The sequence below is a fragment of the Homo sapiens genome, chromosome 2 (genome assembly GCF_000001405.40).
Source record: "Homo sapiens chromosome 2, GRCh38.p14 Primary Assembly".
Taxonomy (NCBI): Eukaryota; Metazoa; Chordata; class Mammalia; order Primates; family Hominidae; genus Homo; species Homo sapiens.
This window is the reverse complement of record NC_000002.12, coordinates 206,390,511-206,411,589: the sequence shown is the minus strand read 5'-3', so window position 1 is coordinate 206,411,589 and position 21,079 is coordinate 206,390,511. Positions and strand designations below refer to the sequence as shown.

Here is a 21,079-nt window from a genome sequence, read left to right as displayed (position 1 = left end):
CAGAATTGGAAAAAACTACTTTAAAGTTCATATGGAACTAAAAAAGAGCCCACATTGGAGAGACAATGCTAAGCAAAAAGAACAAAGCTGGAGGTATCATGCTACCTGACTTCAAACTATACTACAAGGCAACAATAACCAAAACAGCATGGTACTGGTACCAAAACAGAGATGTAGACCAATGGAACAGAACAGAGGCCTCAGAAATAACACCACACATCTACAACCATCTGATCTTTCACAAACCTGACACACACAAGCAATTCCCTATTTAATAAGTAGTGCTGGGAAAACTGGCTAGCCATATGTAGAAGGCTGAAACTGGATCCCTTCCTTAAACCTAATAAAAAAATTAATTCAAGATGGATTAAAGACTTAAATGTTAGACCTGAAACCATAAAAACCCTAGAAGAAAACCTAGGCAATACCATTCAGGACATAGGCATGGGCAAGGACTTCATGACTAAAACACCAAAAGCAATGGCAACAAAAGCCAAAATAGACAAATGGGGGGGAGGTGGGGCGGAGCGCGGGAGGCCGGTTGAGAGGCGCCCATCCGGCGGTTACCCGGTACTTCATAAAGCCGCTCTCGCCGCTGGCTGTCGCGGCGTCTTGCCTCCGCAGCAGCTCTGGGCTCTTCTCAGCTGCAGGAGCAGCTGCTCCAATGCCCCAGAGTGGCCATGGGCGCCCCGCACTGGTGGGACCAGCTGCAGGCTGGCAGCTCGGAGGTGGACTGGCGCGAGGACAACTACACCATCGTGCCTGCTGTCGCCGAGTTCTATAACATGATCAGCAATGTCTTATTTTTCATTTTACCGCCCATCTGCATGTGCTTGTTTCGTCAGTATGCAACATGCTTCAACAGCGGCATCTACTTAATCTGGACTCTTGGTTGTAGCGGGAATTGGATCCGTCTACTTCCATGCAACCCTTAGTTTCCTGGGTCAGATGCTTGATGAACTTGCAGTCCTTTGGGTTCTGATGTGTGCTTCGGTCATGTGGTTCCCCAGAAGGTATCTACCAAAGATCTTTCGGAATGACCAGGGTAGGTTCAAGGTGGTGGTCTGTGTCCTGTCTGCAGTTATGACGTGCCTGGCATTTGTCAAGCCTGCCATCAACAACATCTCTCTGATGACCCTGGGAGTTCCTTGCGCTGCACTGCTCATCACAGAGCTAAAGAGGTGTGACAACATGCGTGTGTTTAAGCTGGGCCTCTTCTCGGGCCTCTGGTGGACCCTGGCCCTGTTCTGCTGGATCAGTGACCGAGCTTTCTGCGAGCTGCTGTCATCCTTCAACTTCCCCTACCTGCACTGCATGTGGCACATCCTCATCTGCCTTGCTGCCTACCTGGGCTGTGTATGCTTTGCCTACTTTGATGCTGCCTCAGAGATTCCTGAGCAAGGCCCTGTCATCAAATTCTGGCCCAGCGAGAAATGGGCCTTCATTGGTGTCCCCTATGTGTCCCTCCTGTGTGCCAACAAGAAATCATCAGTCAAGACCACGTGATGGCAAGATGGTGGCTGGCTTCTCTGCTTATCGCCCCTCATGCAGTGGGCTTCCTTTGCTAGGAAGACAGCCAAGGGAGTTCAAATAGTTGGGGAGTGGGCTATCTTTTCAAAAATCTATTTGCTGGGGCTCTTAATTTCTTTAGTGTTCTTTGTATGTAGGGATTTAAGCTTTGTCATATGGTACAAATATTCCCTGCCCCCCTGCAGTTTCCCATTTGTCTTTCAGTATGTTAATATTTTTGTGCCATACTGGTTTTAAACTTTCATGTTGTCATATCTGTTAATCTTTTCCTTAGGATTTCTGGATTTTCTGTAATTTTTAAAAAGATCCCCTCCTCCTCACTAATGTGTCTGTGGACTACCTGGATTCCACTGTGCAAGGGGAAAAGTGTCTATTCCTTTCCCAAAAACGGAAAATGGAGGGCTTAGGGACACTAGATGCATCTTTCTCAGCATCACTTCCAGATGCAGTGACTTGTTGGGCTGTGTCCTTAATGGCCATGGCAGAGCAGTCCCTTGGGGGAACCAGCCCTGTACAATGCATCTCTTCCTGGAGAAAGCTGGCCTGCTCCAGACCCCACCATTCCCAGGCGCCCTTGGAGTGGACTCTACTGATGACAGACAGACCCTCTGACAGACAAGACCTTCTGACTCTGTGATGGAAGATGCCAGAGATTTTCCTTTGGGGTAATTGTCCTTAAACAAAACCAAACAGATGAAACACACACAGGACTTGTGGCTAAAAAGACTAGTTTTTCACTTGCATTTCTCAACTAACCCAGGTTTTACATGCATCTGCGAATCCTTTTACTACTACCTCTGTGGAGAGATGGAGAGATGGAGAGACTTCAGATAAACGTGCAGCTAATGAGTAAAACCCTCTCTGCCAAAACCTACACTCCACTTTAGGCCATTCTTGAAGAAGAGCACAATTTTTAAACACTGACATCACTTCCGCTTCCCCTTCCCACCCCAGCTCAGCAGCCTCAAATCCACAGAGAAGAAGACTTATGGCATGAACATTCCCACAGACCCACCATCTTTAAGACTTGACCTCCATTAAGTTTACCAAAGGGCTCCTCACAATTGTGGTGGGGGTTCTGGTTCAAAATTTGGAGCAAACATGAAGTTTTTGGAAACTTTTTCTCATTCGAAGCCTCCAGTATGCTGTACTATTCTGGAAATTACCCTCAAGAGTCTCACTTCTTGTTTCTGTTGTGTTTTCTGTGGGCATCATGCTCTTCACTCTTGCAGTAGAAGGTGCTTTCTGGATTTCCCAGAGTATCCAATGGCTCACTTTTCTCAAGTGCTGGCAGTAACTATGCACTCGTGGGCTGGTTTGGGTCGCTGGTGCAGCAGCGCAAATCTGTTGCCTTCTGAATTTTTCTCACCTACTGTGACACCGGCTACAATGAATCTTCTCTTCATCGGGCTGAATGAAAGATTCAAGAACCGTCTTCAAGGTGCATGGTGGGAATTATCAACCTCAGGGATACTCATTTTAACTCAGGTGTGTCCTGCTTTGTAACATTCCATTGTTGAGAGAGGGCAGGACAGGTGTGTTCTTGTGTGGGCAGGAGTGATGTCACTGTCCTACATATGTAAGAGTTGGGAAGGTGACGATTTTTGACACATCCAGGAACTCTTACTCTAGTTAGAATTTGTACAAGATCCAAGGTGAAAACCCCAATAAGCAACTGAATTTAGAGTTTAAAAATGAATAACTTTATGCTACATCTGTGGTTATCAAATTGTATAGGTTGTTCAGGAGCAGAATCCTGTTTGTAGTAAGAAATCTTTGTGGAACCCCAGTGTGTGAAATAAATTGTATTTTATTAACTTAAAAAAAATAGACAAATGGGATCTAACTAAACTAAAGAGCTACTGCACAGCAAAAGAAACTACCATCAGATTGAACAGGCAACCTATAGAATGGGAGAAAATTTTTGCAATCTACCCATCTGACAAAGGGCTAATACCCAGAATCTACAAAGAACTTAAACAAATTTACAAGAAAAAAATCAAACAGCCCTATCAAAAAGTAGGCAAAGGATATGAAGAAACACTTTTCAAAAGAAGGCATTTATGCAGCCAACAGACATATGAAAAAAAGCTCATCATCACTGGTCATCAGAGAAATGCAAATCAAAACCACAATGTCATACCAACTCACGCCAGTTAGAATGGTGATCATTAAAAAGTCAGGAAACAACAGATGCTGGAGAGGATGTGGAGAAGTAGGAACGCTTTTACACTGTTGGTGGGAGTGTAAATTAGTTCAACCATTGTGGAAGACAGTGTGGCGATTCCTCAAGGATCTAGAACTAGAAATACCATTTGACCCAGCCATCCCATTACTGGGTATATACTGAAAGGATTATAAATCATGCTACTATAAAGACACATGCACATGTATGTTTATTGTGGCACTATTCACAATAGCAAACACTTGGAACCAACCCAAATGTCCATCAATGATAGACTGGATTAAGAAAATTTGGCACATATACACCATGGAACACTATGCAGCCATAAAAAAGGATGAGTACATGTCCTTTTTAGGGACTTGGATGAAGCTGGAAACCATCATTCTGAGCAAACTATCACAAGGACAGAAAACCAAACACCACATGTTCTCACTCATAGGTGGGAATTGAACAGTGAGAACACTAGGACACAGGGAGGAGAATGTCACACATTGGGGCCTGTCCTGGGGTGGGAGGCTGGGGGAGGGATAGCATTAGGAGAAATACCCAATGTAAATGACGAGTTAATGGGTGCAGCAAACCAACATGGCACATGTATACATATGTAACAAACCTGCACGTTGTGCACATGTACCCTAGAACTTAAAGTATAATAATAAAAAAAAGAAAGAAATGAAAAAGTTATAATGACCTGAACTGGAGTCAAATATGCATTATGGATTCATCTGTTATTTGGAATGGCCCTTTGTGTTTAAGTCAAACTATGATTGCAGTATGTCAGGTGGAAAAGTCACTGGTAAATACTAAGAGTAAAATATGAGTCATCCCAATTGATATTGGCTATAACTCAACCAAAATGGGGGATGTCCAGAAATATAGTCAATCGGTGATGGGAGAGAGGTGTGATAATGAGTCTTTTTACTATTATAGGAATCCATTTGTCTCATCAATCACCTTCCATGTGCAGAAAGCTAAGGGGAATAATACCATCTCCTTAAGAAAGTGACAGATCAAGACAAAGCACACACACTTATTGAGAACCAGTTTACACAGTATAGAAAGGTCCTGTTAATTATGTTACTTCTCCTGATACCTTCCTTAATAAACACCCTGAGGTTACTAGGATAACATGAGGAAGTCGGAGCCTAGTCTGACTAATGGATACTCAGGAAACTTTATTGATTTCATGATACCAAGCTCCAGGACTCAACTTTGATAAAGGTTATATGAAGTATTAGATTGGTGCAAAAGTAGTTGCGGTTTTTGCCATTAGTTTGAATGGGGAGAAAAAAACCCACACAATTACTTTTGCAGCAACCTAGTATGTCCCTGTCCATGGCACAGTACTTTTCACAATTCCTGCCCAGTTCAGTTTCTCCCTCCTATTGTTACCAGACCCCACCACTCACCCAAGTTAGCCTTTGGGTCGGGGTTTTCCTTAGTATTGTCGCTTCCTGGTCGCCAGAAAGATGTTGCCGGACCCCATGGGTCGGTATGGACATGAAGCAACAATACTAAGGAAACCCCCGACCGAAAGGCTAACTTGGGTGAGTGGGGGGGTCCAGTAACCTCTTTCTGGTGAACCACTGAAGGGACTATAGTGCGGAAATCCCCGACCCAAAGGCTCACTTTGGATAAGTGGGGGGGGGTCTGGTAACGTCTTTATGGCGAACCATGTTAGGGATGATACTGAAGGAAACCCCCAACCCCCACCCCCACCCCCACCCAAAGGAAATAGACTGCAGCACTGATTGGCCGATTTGGGGTAAGTGGTGGGGTACCCGGGTAAATGATGAGATTGGGTTAGAGGCCCAATTTAGGACCATGTTTAGCATATCATCAAGAAACAACCATAAAAATGGGCAACCAGGGCCGGACGCAGCGGCTCACGCCTATAATCCCAGCACTTTGGGAGGCCGAGGTGGGTGGATCACAAGGTCAGGAGATTGAGACCATCCTGACTAACACGGTGAAACCCCGTCTCTACTAAAAAAAAAAAAAAAAAAAAAAAAAAAAAATTAGCCGGGCCTGGTGGCACGTGCCTGTAGTCCCAGCTACTCGGGAAGCTGAGGCAGAAGAATGGGGTGAACCCGAGAGGCAGAGTTCGCAGTGAGCCGAGATCGAGCCGCTGCACTCCAGCCTGGGCGACAGAGTGAGACTCCGTCTCAAAAAAAAAAAAAAAAAAAAGGCAACCAGCAGCTCTCGGGACTGCTCTGTCTATGGAGTAGCTATTCTTTTATTCCTTTGCTTTCTTTGCTTTCCCAATAAACTTGCTTTCACTTTACTCTATCAACTTGCCCTGAATTCTTTCTTGCGTGAAATCCAAGAACCCTCTACTGAGGTCTGCATCCGGACCCCTTTCCAGTAACACTGTCATCATTCAAACCACACCCAATAATAATTAGGAAGACTATTGTCAGGAGAGACTGCAAATATAATTTCCTTCAATTCAGTTTGGGTTTTTTTTTTTTTTTGGATGGGGGGGTAGGTGTTCAGGGAACACATCTTTTTTTTCCAGTTATACTGAAGTATAACAAATAAAAATTATATATATACATATATTTACAGTACACGCGATGTTTTGATATGTGTCTAATTGTGAAATGACTACCACAATCAGGCTAATTAACATGCTCATCACTTCACATATATTTTTTGTTTGTAGTGAGAACATTTAATTAAGATCTACTCCTAAACAAACTTCAAGTATAAAATAACAGTATTTTTAACTGTAGTCACCTAGTCACCATGCTGTGTATTAGACGTATGGAACTTATTTTCCTTCAATTCAGTTTTGTTCATCTTGTGGAGTCTTATCCATTGTTTTCTTTTGGGAGACCCTTGTACCTACCCATTAGCTGTGGAGAAACTCCCAGACAGGTCTATATCCTCGCACAGCCTGAATCATATTGCATCTCCAACATCCAATAAATACTAACTTTACATAAATCCTAAGGACACTATTTAACTATACACCAAACATTAAAACAAAAAAAGATAAAGAACATCTCTTGGTGTTGGCCACTAAAATCCATTTTACCTTCTTCTGGTAAGTGAAATTTTTCAGAACTCGTCTTTCACCTACTTTCAATATGTGAGCTTCAGAAAAGTTGAGCCCACAGCATGGTCCAGGGGTGGGCATATAACCTGGGCTTAGCTAGTTGGAACCACACTGGCCACAGTAATTGGTCCATTGATGGGTCTATTATTCACTTAAGCTCACTGAGCTAATTCTACACATTTGCTAGAGCAACTGGGAGAGGGGCTTCCTTCCCACCTTCCCACCATAAGAGGGAGTTTGCTTGAGAAAAAAGCCAATATAGAAGAAAGCAAAGCTGATAGCTGAAGAAAGAGAGCTTGGTAACATCTACTCTTGAACTTTCCAGGTAGGTGAATCAAGAAATTCTCCCTCATACTTAAAATATATTTGAGTTGGGTTTTCTATGATTAAAACTGAAAGTTTTCTGACATAAAGACATTTAAAAAATTTTAAGACACGGAGGAATGTCAATGTGGCTATGGATTAGTCTAAGATATAAAAGGGATATGGGGACCCACTTGGAACCCTACAGTTGGTATGAAAATTATTTTAAGCTGAAGATATTTGAGATTTAACAGACATGGAAAGAAGACTTTTAGGAGCTTCCCTCACATGACTAAAAGCAGCAACTTGTGGGAAAAGAGGCTTCCATATACTCCTTCTTTAGAGCAAGTCTACTCCCAAGAAGAAAACTGAGAGTACATGTACCATAAATCTCCTCTCTGGAGGAGTTTCATGGCCATGAAGAAGACAAAAAGACTGAGAGTTCCTGCATAAACAAACGTGATCATAAACTTTCTTATCTCCTACTTGTTCTCCTAAAACCCATTTTTCTTTCCTAAAGAAATCTATTTGTTCTTCCCATAGAAGTCTTTTCTACCGCCTCCCTTTTTCCTAAAGGGGTAGGTATATAAACTTATTAAAATTATTTATCAGGCTAGCTACTTCTTTTGTTAGTTCTATATGCCTATGAATAACAAGCCTTTTCCTCTTGTTTGTCTGTCTTTTGTCGGTTTAATTTACAGGCCCCCTGTTATTGAACATAAAAGGGTAGAGGAAAAGTCTTTTCCTCCTGACAAAGACAAAAGGAAGAGGATAAATGCTGAGGTATCCATGAGCTGCCAACTCTGGGTACCCAGTTCCCAGTTCCACCTGCATAGCCACCTTTAATCAGGGTAACGGACAATAAGCAGACCAAGTCAAAGAAACATGCCATTTAAAAACAAAAAAAAAGAGTAGTAATTTTTACATTAAAAAAATGTGGCCAGGCATGATGGCTCGCATCTGTAATCCCAGCACTTTGGGAGGCCAAGGTGGGTGGATTGCTTGAGCCCAAGCGTTCTAGGTCAGGCTGAGCAACATAGTGAGACTCCATCGCTACAAAAAATACAAAAATTAGCCAGGTGTGGTGGCACACGCCTGTAGTCCCAGCTACTCAGGAAGCTGAGGCAGGAGGATCTCTTGAGCCCGGGAAGCAGAGGTTGCAGTGAGCCATGATTGCATCACTGCACTCTAGCCTGGGCAACAGAGGGAGACCTTGTCTAAAAAAAAAAAAAAAAAAAAAAAAAGTTAATGATTTTCAAGTACTTATGGATATTTACTTAAACAATTTCTTAAGTTGACATTTCACCACTTTGTGAACTCCAAAGAATGCGTTATCTGAAAGTACACTAAAGCATCTATCATTCCTTAGGAAATGGCCATCATCTGATTCCTAACTGGTCTACTATTTATATGTTTTGCTGACTCATGGTTCTACCTGAGGCTGAGGGCTTCCAAACTGGCTACTGGGCACTTCAGTCTAAAATCTCAGAAAAAAACTGATCATCCCCATTCCCTGATCACTCCCAACCTCCCAACATCTATATCCCCTAGTGATTATCTGATCTGTAAATTTCCTTTTATTTGAATGCCGAATCTGTCCCAGAAATACTTCCAAGCCGTGGAACATTCTATGACCAGCTGGAATTAAAGTTACGCTAACAAAGATCTTGGCACCTTCTCTTGCAGTTTGTAAAGTTATATACAATAGTCCTTCCTGGATCTCTAAGGTCTACTCTATCTTTATTTCCATAGTAGATATTTTTAATCCCTAGAAATTACAAAATAAAATAATGTTTATAAATTGATGCCAAATTTTAAAACAAGCTATCTATAAATGCTTGGTCCAGAAATAAAGCAAATTATTAGTAAAATTTCCCTATATGCCCCCTTTGGATAATTTTCTACATCCTCCTGGCGTTCTGAAAGTCTTCATCACAATTCCCCAGGAGGGGACATCTTCTGGGCTGCTCTCTCTGGTTTTACTTTTGTCTCTTTTTTCCACTCTCTTTCCCCATTTTTTTCTTGTTCAATGTCTTGATCTCCAGATTCTGTTCTTTGTTTGCCAAATTAATTTGTAGATGAATTCTTATGTGACACAATTGCATTTTAATGTGGATATTCTAAAGAAAACATCTTAATCTACATGAATTGGAATTTCAGGCAAGATGGAAAGTGACAGAGATGCAATTTGGGGACAGAGATGCCATTCAAGTGCCTGCTCCTCAAATCATATCTAGAAGTATGTGTATATTCCACTGGCCCTACCTTTGCCCATCAGGTAACATTATTGATCAAGATCTAGCAGGAGAAGCAGCAGCCTCAAGAGAATTGAAGCATCCACCTTCCTTGTAGAATTCATCTTTTTCTGACCATACTTAGAACAATCATTTTGCAGATTTTTTAAAAAATTCTTGCTTTCAAGTTGCATCAGAAAGACTATTATGTATTTTTTTTAAAAACAAGAAGGAAATATACATGTCCATGCCAGGGCAAAGCTCTTTTTTTCCCTACCAAAACCCCAGGCCACAGGACCCTCTAAATAGCAGCCACAGATGGCTCTCTCTGTTTCTCTCTCCCACTTTCTGGCTTCTGTAAATCTAAAATAAAATTCTAAGCCCCCAAACCATCTAAATGGACCCCTCCTCTCAGCTAAGGTCATTCCAAAGTTAACCTAAAAAACCAGTTCAGGCCATAATGGGAAGTGGGGGTCAGACATGCCTCATTATACTCTCCTCTCTTTTGGAATTCAGGCATAGCTGACCAGCATTAACATCAACACAGAGACCTTAAGACTGACAGAACAGACATCTAGGAAGTGAGGAGTGTCTCTGCCCGGCCGCCCATCGTCTGAGATGTGGGGAGCGCCTCTGCCCCGCCGCCCCCTCTGGGACGTGAGGAGCGCCTCTGCCCGGCCGAGACCCCGTCTGGGAGGTGAGGAGCGTCTCTGCCCGGCCGCCCCATCTGAGAAGTGAGGAGACCCTCTGCCTGGCAACCACCCCGTCTGAGAAGTGAGGAGCCCCTCCACCCGGCAGCTGCCCCGTCTGAGAAGTGAGGAGCCTCTCCGCCCGGCAGCCACCCCATCTGGGAAGTGAGGAGCATCTCCGCCCGGCAGCCACCCCGTCCGGGAGGGAGGTGGGGCGGGTCAGCCCCCCGCCCGGCCAGCCGCCCCATCCGGGAGGGAGGTGGGGGGTCAGCCCCCCCGCCCGGCCAGCCATGCCATCCGGGAGGGAGGTGGGGGGTTCAGCCCCCCGCCTGGCCAGCCGTGCCATCCGGGAGGGAGGTGGGGGGGTCAGCCCCCCGCCCGGCCAGCCGCCCCGTCCGGGAGGTGAGGGGCGCCTCTGCCCGGCCGCCCCTACTGGGAAGTGAGGAGCCCCTCAGCCCGGCCAGCCACCCCGTCCGGGAGGGAGATGGGGGGGTCAGCCCCCCGACCCGGCCAGCCGCCCCGTCTGGAAGGGAGGTGGGGGGGTCAGCCTCCGCCCGGCCAGCCGCCCCGTCTGGGAGGTGAGGGGCGCCTCTGCCCGGCCGCCCCTACTGGGAAGTGAGGAGCCCCTCTGCCCGGCCAGCCGCCCCGTCCGGGAGGGAGGTGGGGGGGTCAGCCCCCCACCTGGCCAGCCGCCCCGTCTGGGAGGGAGGTGGGGGGGTCAGCCTCCGCCCGGCCAGCCGCCCCGTCTGGGAGGTGAGGGGCGCCTCTGCCCGGCCGCCCCTACTGGGAAGTGAGGAGCCCCTCTGCCCGGCCAGCCGCCCCATCCGGGAGGGAGGTGGGGGGGTCAGCCCCCCGCCCGGCCAGCCGCCCCGTCCGGGAGGGAGGTGGGGGGGGTCAGCCCCCCCGCCCGGCCAGCCGCCCCGTCCGGGAGGGAGGTGGGGGGGGTCAGCCCCCCGCCCGGACAGCCGCCTCGTCCGGGAGGTGAGGGGCGCCTCTGCCCGGCCGCCCCTACTGGGAAGTGAGGAGCCCCTCTGCCCGGCCACCACCCCGTCTGGGAAGTGTGCCCAACAGCTCATTGAGAACGGGCCAGGATGACAATGGCTGCTTTGTGGAATAGAAAGGCGGGAAAGGTGGGGAAAAGATTGAGAAATCGGATGGTTGCCGTGTCTGTGTAGAAAGAAGTAGACATGGGAGACTTTTCATTTTGTTCTGCACTAAGAAAAATTCTTCTGCCTTGGGATCCTGTTGATCTGTGACCTTACCCCCAACCCTGTGCTCTCTGAAACATGTGCTGTGTCCACTCAGGGTTAAATGGATTAAGGGCGGTGCAAGATGTGCTTTGTTAAACAGATGCTTGAAGGCAGCATGCTCCTTAAGAGTCATCACCAATCCCTAATCTCAAGTAATCAGGGACACAAACACTGTGGAAGGCCGCAGGGTCCTCTGCCTAGGAAAACCAGAGACCTTTGTTCACTTGTTTATCTGCTGACCTTCCCTCCACTATTGTCCCATGACCCTGCCAAATCCCCCTCTGTGAGAAACACCCAAGAATTATCAATAAAAAAATAAATTAAAAAAAAAAAAAAAAAAAAGACTGACAGAACAGACTCTTTAAGTCTGATAAGAAACATTTACAATCTATTCCCTTCTATTGATGCTATCTGCATAATGGGAACCCTGGTCTCCACAATGCTTTATCTTAACCCAGACATTGCCTTCCATTGATTCTAAGTCTTCAGACAATAATATAACTCTTCCAACCAATTGCCAATCAGAAAATCTTTTAATCTACCTATGACCTGGAAGCCCCTGCTTTGAGTTATCCTGCCTTTTGGGACTGAACCAATGTACGTCTTACATATGTTGATCGATGTCTTATATCTCCCTAAAATGTGAAAAACCAAGCTGTAGCCTGACCACCTTGGGCACATGTTCTCAGGATCTCCTGGGGGCTGTGTCACAGACCACTGGTCACAACGAAGAGCTGAACTGTTCGTTGACATTTCCATTCTCTATTTCCAAATTTCTTGATGTTTTTTGCCCATCCTGGGGCTTCCATGTGGACCTTCGCTCCCTACCCTGTCTCCTCAGATTGCTGGCTCGGGTGGACTTCCAGCTTTGATGGCCATTTCTTAGGACACTGTCTTGTGGTGATTGGTTCCCTTCAGCTCCAAGCACTATGGCTCGCCTGGCAAGTCCCGCCTTGCTATGAATCTACCGAGCTAAGGAAAACACAAGTGTATATTAGTGAGCCACACACATATTCTTCTGAAAGCAAAAACGATTTCAATGAACTTCCTCTCAACTGAAAAGCAGAAAAACATGAAAATGACACTAATTCAGGCTAAATACAGCCTACATGATGAATGAAAATATGGAATTCATTTTTAAATGAAATGTTTTCCTTTTATATATAGTAACTTAAATCAGGCTTAACATTTTATCAGATATAGGTTCTTTAGAATCTGTTTTTTTTTTTAATTTTAAGTTCAGGGGTACATGTGTAGGATGTGCAGATTTGTTACATGGGTAAACGTGTGTCATGGTGATTTGCTGCACCTATCAACCTATCACCTAGATATTAAGCCCAGCATGCATTAGCTCTTTTTCCTGATACTCTCCCTCCCCACCCTCCTGACAGGTTCCAGTGTGTGTTTAAATGCATAAAATAAGAGTTTTTATTCATTTAAATGACCTGTTTAAATGAATAAAATAAGACTTTTATTTGCAACCCGCCCACTCCAGAGCTCCCCACTTCTCTTACCCTGTTTCTTTTCTTTTTTTCCCCAAAAGCACCATCACTTTTAGAAACACTAGATGATTTAATTATTTATTTTTGTTCACTATGTGCCCTCGCTAGAATATAAGCTCAAGAGCCATGAGATTCTTTGTGTTTTTCACTGATGTATGCCAAACACCTAGAACAGCACTCGGCACATTACACATCTCAAGTAGAATTGATTGACTGAATGAATGAGAATTAGCCGGTCAAATCTAAGTATACAAAAAGGGCTTGAGAGACTTCAGTTTTTTCCATTTCCCCAGTAAATTTTTTTAGTATTATTCATTGACATATAACTTTTGTTGCTAGGTCCAAATAATCACTTCTTGTTCTTCTTTATCCCCTTAAAGACCTGAAAACATAATTTTTAAATCACTTGATAGTTTTATATTATTTTGTATTTCATTAGGAGCGGATTCTTCTCCTGATTGATGATTTTGTTACTGTCTTTTTTAGTGGTAGTTTTCCTAATGGAAACTATTTATATTTGGGTTGGTAGACTCATCTTGGGTGGAGCTGTTTGTGTTGTAGTTTTGTTTGGGTTGTTTACGTGATCTCTGGTCACCTCTCCCTGTGTATAAGTTTTGCAGTTGCCTCCACTCAGCCCCCAGGGAGAACTTTAGCATGCAAATTCAGAACCAGGTCTTGTTTGGAAGTATGCTGCTCCTAGCCCAGAGTGATGGGACTATTGTAGATCTAGTTACTGAGCCAAATAGATCCTGCTGCTTGGCTTGCTCTATTTCCTCCCGTTCCCTACAGAGATTCAGCTTTATAAAGCCGCAGCTTCAAGCAGTGATCAGAGTGGTTTCAACCTCCTTTCATGGTCAGGCAGGCCCACCTAGCCTTTGGTTTTACACAGTGATGCTGGCTCTGGTGCCCCACCACATGTGGGCCACTTTGGTTTTCATTGCCCTGCAGGAGTCACCCTCCTCACTCTGCCTATTTCTGGACCTACAGCCCAGCAGGCCTATACTGCAGTCCAGCTTACCACTGAGTGTTTCCATTTCTGGCCCATGAAAATGTTGAGCTTTGGGGGTTTTTCCACAGCTATGTCTATTAAGTTTGGAGCAGAGAAGAAAATTTTAAAGATATACACACAACACCACTTGATGGGGAAGTATGGAAAGAAGACAAAGAAGGGTGCAGCTATAGACAAATCTGTAGATCAGGGATCAGAAATTGAAGAACATCACAGTTTTGCTTAAGGACGGCCCCGCTTTCAAAGACACAAAAATAATCTAATCAAAGGTAGCAGGTATGTCAGCTGAGGAATGAATGATGCCCAAACGCATATTCACTGTAAGATTCTAATACACAGACATTCAAAGAAGAGGAGGAAGGAGACAAAACGGAATTGCCAGGATGTCAATCAATCCATGCAGTTGTCCAGGGTCCCTGCTTGTCAACTCTCATGACCTTAAACCCAGTTAGAAGGAACGTGATCAGGAGATTAATTGTGATACTAAATTCCAAATTTCATTGAAAAGTCCATCACTCCTATACACACTGGTGCTGCTTCTTGCACAATTCAGAAATTTGCACTGAGGCTCTCACCAATCCCCAGGAATTTCTTAGGTTCTTTTCTTCCTATTTGTGTTCATTCTGCATTTTAAAAACTTCTTCATTTGCTTTTATATTTATCTTCATATTCTTGGTGCCCAAATGCAGCACAACATATAAACTGAGCTGGAGCCCCAAGAGAGCAGGCTCTGCCTTCTTGCAACAGTGCTCTGCCTATTTACAAGAGGCATCTCCAAACACCCTATGTTCTTGGCCTTATATTTCCCCTAGACCCAATTTCCTGCTTCTCTCTATTTCTCTAACTCCCACCAGATACCATGGTTGGCTGGGTGGATGGTTTGTTGGTTTGTTTTAAGTCTGATGATGTCGTTTATGCTGAAGATGCTACTGTTTTATACTTTGGAAATGTTTCATCCTAACAGTCCTCCTCCCTAGGTTAGATTTTCCCTCTGCCTCCACGCTTATGTCAGCTGGAGAATCCTCCCATCAACACATTTCTGAAGTGGAGTTATTGTTGGTGATGTTTCTCAAGTCTTTAGTGGTGCAGGAAAAAACAACATGTCTTCTTCTATGTGTTTTCTAGCTTCTGTTCAGACCAACAGAAATAGTGCTTTCCTGACCTCATTTATTTATTATTTTATTATTGTTATACTTTAAGTTTTAGGGTACATGTGCACAACGTGCAGGTTTGTTACATATGTATACATGTGCCATGTTGGTGTGCTGCACCCATTAACTTGTCATTTAGCATTAGGTATCTTGACCTCTTTTTCTGCAGCAGCACAACCTCTTTACTCCTATTGTTCCATATCTTTTCCGCCCCTCCCCCAAGGATGCCCTATCTCTCTTTCTCTCTCACACGTTCTCGCTCTGTCGCCCAGACTGGAGCAGTCACGGCTCATTGCAGCCTCTAACTCCTGGGGTCAAGCAATCCTCCCTGCTTAGCCACCTGAGTAGCTAGGACTACAGGCACACACCACCACTCCCAGTTGATTTAAGATTCCCTATCTCTTTCGGGTAGATTCACATATTTTCCCAAACTTCATCTATTCCTAATGTAATGTCATTCCTTCTCTACAACATGTAAGCTTATACCATTTGTCTAATCGATGTCATCCTTCCCAGTATATTCTCTTCCCACTTAACCTCAAGGAAAAAAGTCTATTCTTAAAGCTAGTCCTGTTTCCCTTCATGTTTCAGATTCACCACTTCCAAAGCCCAAGCAATACTTTTCTGATCCTCTATCAAATTTTGAATCTTTCTTCTTCATCTATAGTTTTTCTTCTGCCTCTGAGCAAACATAATATCTATAGCCAGAGTGTTCTGGCACCAGAGGCCTTTATATTTTCCAAGATGACAAATTCATGTATAGAAAGGGTCTACTTAAAATATGTATGTGTGTGTGTGTATAGAAAGAGATATATTTAGATCAATATAAATGAATATTCTTACAAATATGTGGTAAAGAGGATTTCTTAAACAAGAATCAAAAAGCAAAATGAAAAACAAGCCCCCCAAAATGAGAAACTAAGCCGATCAACTTGATTGCACTAACATTTAGGCCTGTATGACCAAAGACTCCATGAAAAAAGCTGAAAGCTAAGCAAAGCTGATTAGGAGAAAGTATATGCAGCATACTTAACAAAAGATCATCTCATAGATTAATAAGAAAAAATCAGACAATGTAATAGAAATCTGAATAGAGATTATAAACAGATGATTCACGAAAGAGAAAATGCAAATGGCCAATAAACATGAAAAGATGCTCAATCTCACTAGAAACCAGGGAAATGCAAAGTAAAACAATGACATACTGTTTCTCTCCCTTAGATTGGCACAAAGGTTTAATTTTATTTATGAATTTTTACAAGGTTTTCAGGAACTGGGTACTCTCAGATACTGCTGTGGGAATATAAATTGGTTCAAGTAATTTGCACATAGCCTAGAACCCAGCAGTTCCACATATAGATTTCTATTTGAGAGAAACTCTGGCACATATTCACTTTGTAGACACTTATTCAAAGGTTCCAGGCAGCACTGTTTGTAACAGACAAGTATTAGTAGCAATAACAGTTAAAAGGAATATACTAGATCTATTTGTATCAACATGGATAAATCTCAAACATCACTGCTAATTGAAAAAGGCAAGCTGTAGAATAAAATGCATATGACACCATTTTGTCAAACACACACATACTGATGATACTAAAATGATATTCTGAAAACTCATAATACTGGTTACCTCTTGACCTCTTTTTCTACAGCAACACAATCTAATGCTTTACTCCTGTTGTTCCATATCCATTTCCCCCTAAGGATTCCCTATCTCTCTCACTCTCTCTGTATTAGTCTGCTCTCACACTGCTGATAAAAAATACCCAAGACTGGGTAATTTATACAGAAAAAGAGGCTTAATAGACTCACAGTTCCACGTGGCTGGGGAGGCCTCACAATCATGATGGAAGTTGAGGAGGAGTGAGTCACATCTTATATGGATGGCATCAGGCAAAGAGAGAGAGAGCTTGTGCAGGGAAACTCTCCCTTATAAAATCATTTCAAAACCAATCATGCCTTCCAAACTCTTAACTCATTTCAGCATTAACTCAGAAGTCCATAGTCCAAAGTCTCATCTGAGACAAAGCAAGTATCTTCCACCTATGAGCCTGTAAAATCAAAAGCAAGTTAGTTACTTCCTACATACAATGGGGTACAGGCATTGGGTAAATGAAGCCATTCCAAATGGGAGAAATTGGCCAAAACAAAGGGGCTACAGACCCCATGCAAGTCCAAAACCCAGCAGGGCAGTCAAATCTTTTTTTTGTTTTGTTTTGTTTTGAGACAGAGTGTGTCACTCTGTCTTGCCCAGGCTGGAGTGCAGTGGAATGGTTTCAGCTCACTGCAGCCTCTGCCCCCTGGGTTCAAGCAATTCTCCTGTCTCCGCCTTCCAAGAAGCTGGGATTACAGGTGTGTGCCACCACACCTGGATAATTCTGTATTTTTAGTTGAGACGGGGTTTCACCATGTTGGCCAGGCTGGTTTCGAGCTCCTGACCTCCAGTTATCCACCCACCTAGACCTTCCAAAGTGCTGGGATTACAGGCGTGACCCACCGTGCTTGGCCTCAAATCTTAAACCTGCAAGATGATCTCCTTTGACTCCATGTCTCACATCCAGGTCAGACTGATGCAAGAGGTGGGTTCTCATGGTCTTAGGCAGCTCTGCCCCTGTGGCTTTGCAGGGTACAGCCCCACTCCTGGTACCAATTTACTGTATTAGTCTCTTCTCATGTTGCTGATAAAGACATACACAAGACTGGGTAATTTATACAGAAAAGGGAGGTTTAATGAACTTACATTTCCACATGGCTAGGGAGGCCTTACAATCATGACAGAAGGCAAGGAATAGCAAATTACATCTTACATAGATGGCAGCAGGCAAAGGGAGAGAGAGCTTGTGCAGGGAAACTCTCCCTTATAAAACCATCAGATCTCATGAAACTTATTCACTATCATGAGAACAGCATGGGAAAGACCTACCCCCATGATTCACTTACCTCCCACCCAGTCCCTCCCACAATACGTGGGAATTCAAGATGAGATTTGGGTGGGGACACAGCCAAAACATATCACTCTCTCTCTCTTTTTTTTGGGGGGGTGGGGAGGGAACAGCAGCTCATTCTCTTGCCCAGGCTGGACTGCAGTGGTGCGATCATAGCTCATTGCATGATCTATGGGAAGAAATACATATCACAAGTAGTAAGTAGAAGAACAATAGCTAACATTTATTAAGTGCTTCTACATGCCATATGGTGTTTAAGTGCTTTACAAATATTATTACATTTAATCCTTAAAATCACCCTATGAGTTAGGCATTAATATCCATCCTCCAGATAAGAAAATCAGGCATAGTCAGGTTAAGTAACTTGCATAAAGTTGCACAGCCAGTTAATTAGTTTAATTTGAACCTAAGCAATCTGGCTCCAGCCCTTCCTTACTACTCTATTGTAATGCCTGGGATATGGCATCAGGGTCGTTGGATAGTGCTCAAAGATGACTTAATGGCAGCTTTAGCTGTAGGCTTCCAGTTTTTTGGAAGAAGAAGGTATTTGGAAATCATTTATATAGTTAAAAATCAATTTTAAATAGGAAAAGCAATTATTGATAAATCTTAAATGCAACCACCTCCAAAAGGAAAAGAGGCATGAATGAACAAAAAGAAAGGAAGAAAGAGAAGAAAGAAAGAAAATGGCTTTTACGGATCTTCATTTGTCTAGTGATGAATTTCATAACTCTGATTTATTGAATAATTTTAGTGCTCAAAAATCCCTGCCATTATCAGGATTCATCTCAGCCCAGGGGGAACAAAAGGAGATAAGAAGGTAAACAAATCCCTGGGGTTGTTCCTCCTGTCCATCAATGCCAGCACCACCAGTCCAAAATTGTCTACAGTGAAGTTTTGTCTGTTTTGAGACAAGCCTTCCTTTGCCCTTGAAATTAATTCCTAACCTACTACAATCAGTTCTGTCTCATCACCCAGAGGATGTTACCTGGCCCACAGTCATCCTTATTGTTTGTCTATAATGGAAAGAAAAGGCAATTCCAATCAAATTGCAATTAAAGCAAGGAAATAATGAAAAGTTTTTCTTCTTCTTAGAAACCATCCATTGCCCCCCAAGACCTTCCAGGGGGCAGCAGGGCACAAAGGTCTCAGTAAAGCCCTCAAACTGTTTCATCACCCAGTTGAATAGGAAATCAGTTTTCCTAAAAAGCCAATCAAGGGGGGAAAAAAAACTACAAAATGAGCTATAAAAGAAATTTTGCCACCAGGAACCATATTTAACCTTTCCTTTAGCAAAGAGAAAGTTCCAGGCCCAAGCATAGTGACCTAAACCGTGTTCCTGGACTTGACCAATCCAATATTAGTAATCAACTACTTTGTGGGTGGAGTAATAGCTGAGGGAAGTGAGATTTGAGCTCCCCCACGTGGCAGAAGCCTTCCATTAACCCTGAAGGGGGTGAATGGATTTTTTCAGACTAGCCTAGATTTCTCAGGTCTATGTGCAATTCACTTATCTTCTTGGGATATAAGTTTTTTATAGCATTTTCTGAAATAACATCTTGTGATAAGACTTCTTGCCCTATTACACTGAATACTGCAGTGATTGTGAGTGGGATTAGCCCAGAATATCTTCTCCATAATAGACAGAATGATCTGTTTATTTCTATCTGTTTTTGCCAACCCACACTACACTTTTTGTGTGAACTCATTTTTTTTAGCAAGTTTTTATTTTCAGGGCCGTGTTACAACTAATTTAGTATCTGATTTTCCAAACATTCTATGACGAAGGAGAAAAATAACTCTAGCATGTGTTGTTCTCTCTAAGGTGGTACTTAAAATAGGGCACATAGTCCTATGAATAAGAATAAAATAAACCCTATTGGGTTTGATACATATTCTTCAACCCTCAAAACACCTTGGTAATACAAAACACAGAACTTCTTGGCCACAGCTTGCAGTATTTTTTCCTCCTCTGTCTTAGGAACTCCTTCCAGATATAGAATAAGCCTTGAATTTGCCAGCTCTTCTTGCTACTGCAGCATATTTTCTCATTCCCAAGAAAATATTCTTTCTCTTAAAGAGTAAAATGACAAAAATTAAAAGTCAAACCACAAACTGGGGAAATATTGCACTTATATATGATAAAGCACTTACATAAAACTATCTGAGAAAGACTACCTTCCTAATACATAAAAGAATATAACAATTATTTCCCAGAGAGGAAACGCTGATGCACAACAAAATTTGGAAATGCTTAACCCTCTAGAGAAAGTTTAAAAATACAAATTAGAATAATATAGCACCTTTTTTCTATTATACTAACAAAGACATTTAAAATGGAGAATGTTCTATCTACATACAGTAGAACAGACACCAGATAATTTGCTTTTAAAATCGATTTGGAAAAATACCAAGAGCAGCCTTAAAAATATTCATACCCTTTGATCTCTGGGGTTAATATTAAGAACATAATACAAAATAAGGGAAAAGCTTTATGCACAAATATTTTTATTGACATACTATGGCTAGAAACAACCTAAATAATCAACATTAAGGGATTGGTTACTATTATAGTTTTTCTTAGCCTACTGATTTTCATTTCTGGTTCCACATTAAAATCACTTGGTTTGCTATATTTTTACAATAATGATTCCTAATCTTCATATCAGAACAACTGAATCAAAATCTCTAGGACTGAGACCTAGGCATATATGTATAAAAAGTCTCTGAGTGGCTTTCATGTGTAGCCAGGGTTGAAAACCACTAGGCTGAAGAAACTATGATAGATAATTGTGCAGTAGAATATTATGCAGCCAATAAAAAATGCTTCCAGAGTTTTGAAAAAATACATACTTTAGGGCTGGGCATGATGGTTCATGCCTGTAATCCCAGCACTTTGGGAGGCCGAGGTGGGTGGATTGCTTGAGTTCAGGAGTACAAGACCGGTCTGGGCCACACAGCACCTTGTCTCTACAAAAAAAGAAAAAAAAAAAAAGCCTGGCATGGTGGCGTACACCTGTAGTCCTAGCTACTTACTCAGGAGGCTGAGGTGGAAGGATTGCTTGAACCAGGGAGGTTGAGGCTGCAGTGAGCTGAGATCTTGCCACTGCACTCCAGCCTGGGTGAAAGAATGAGACCCCGTCTTGACAACAGAAAAGAAAAAAAAATACATATTTTATTTTGAAACAGTTCTAAACTTACCAAAAACTTGCAAGGT

At 43.0% G+C, this 21,079-nt stretch overlaps 1 pseudogene, besides 1 other annotated feature; it reads left to right on the top strand.

Moving 5' to 3' along the window:
- ACER2P1 (ACER2 pseudogene 1) lies at positions 605-1,703 on the top strand (annotated as a pseudogene).
- Positions 19,111-19,405: an enhancer, noted in NCBI's record as "tiled region #7385; K562 Activating non-DNase unmatched - State 13:Ctcf". NCBI's record gives its function as "activates a minimal TATA promoter and a strong SV40 promoter by Sharpr-MPRA in K562 cells {active_cell/tissue: K562}" and the evidence as "EXISTENCE:reporter gene assay evidence [ECO:0000049][PMID:27701403]".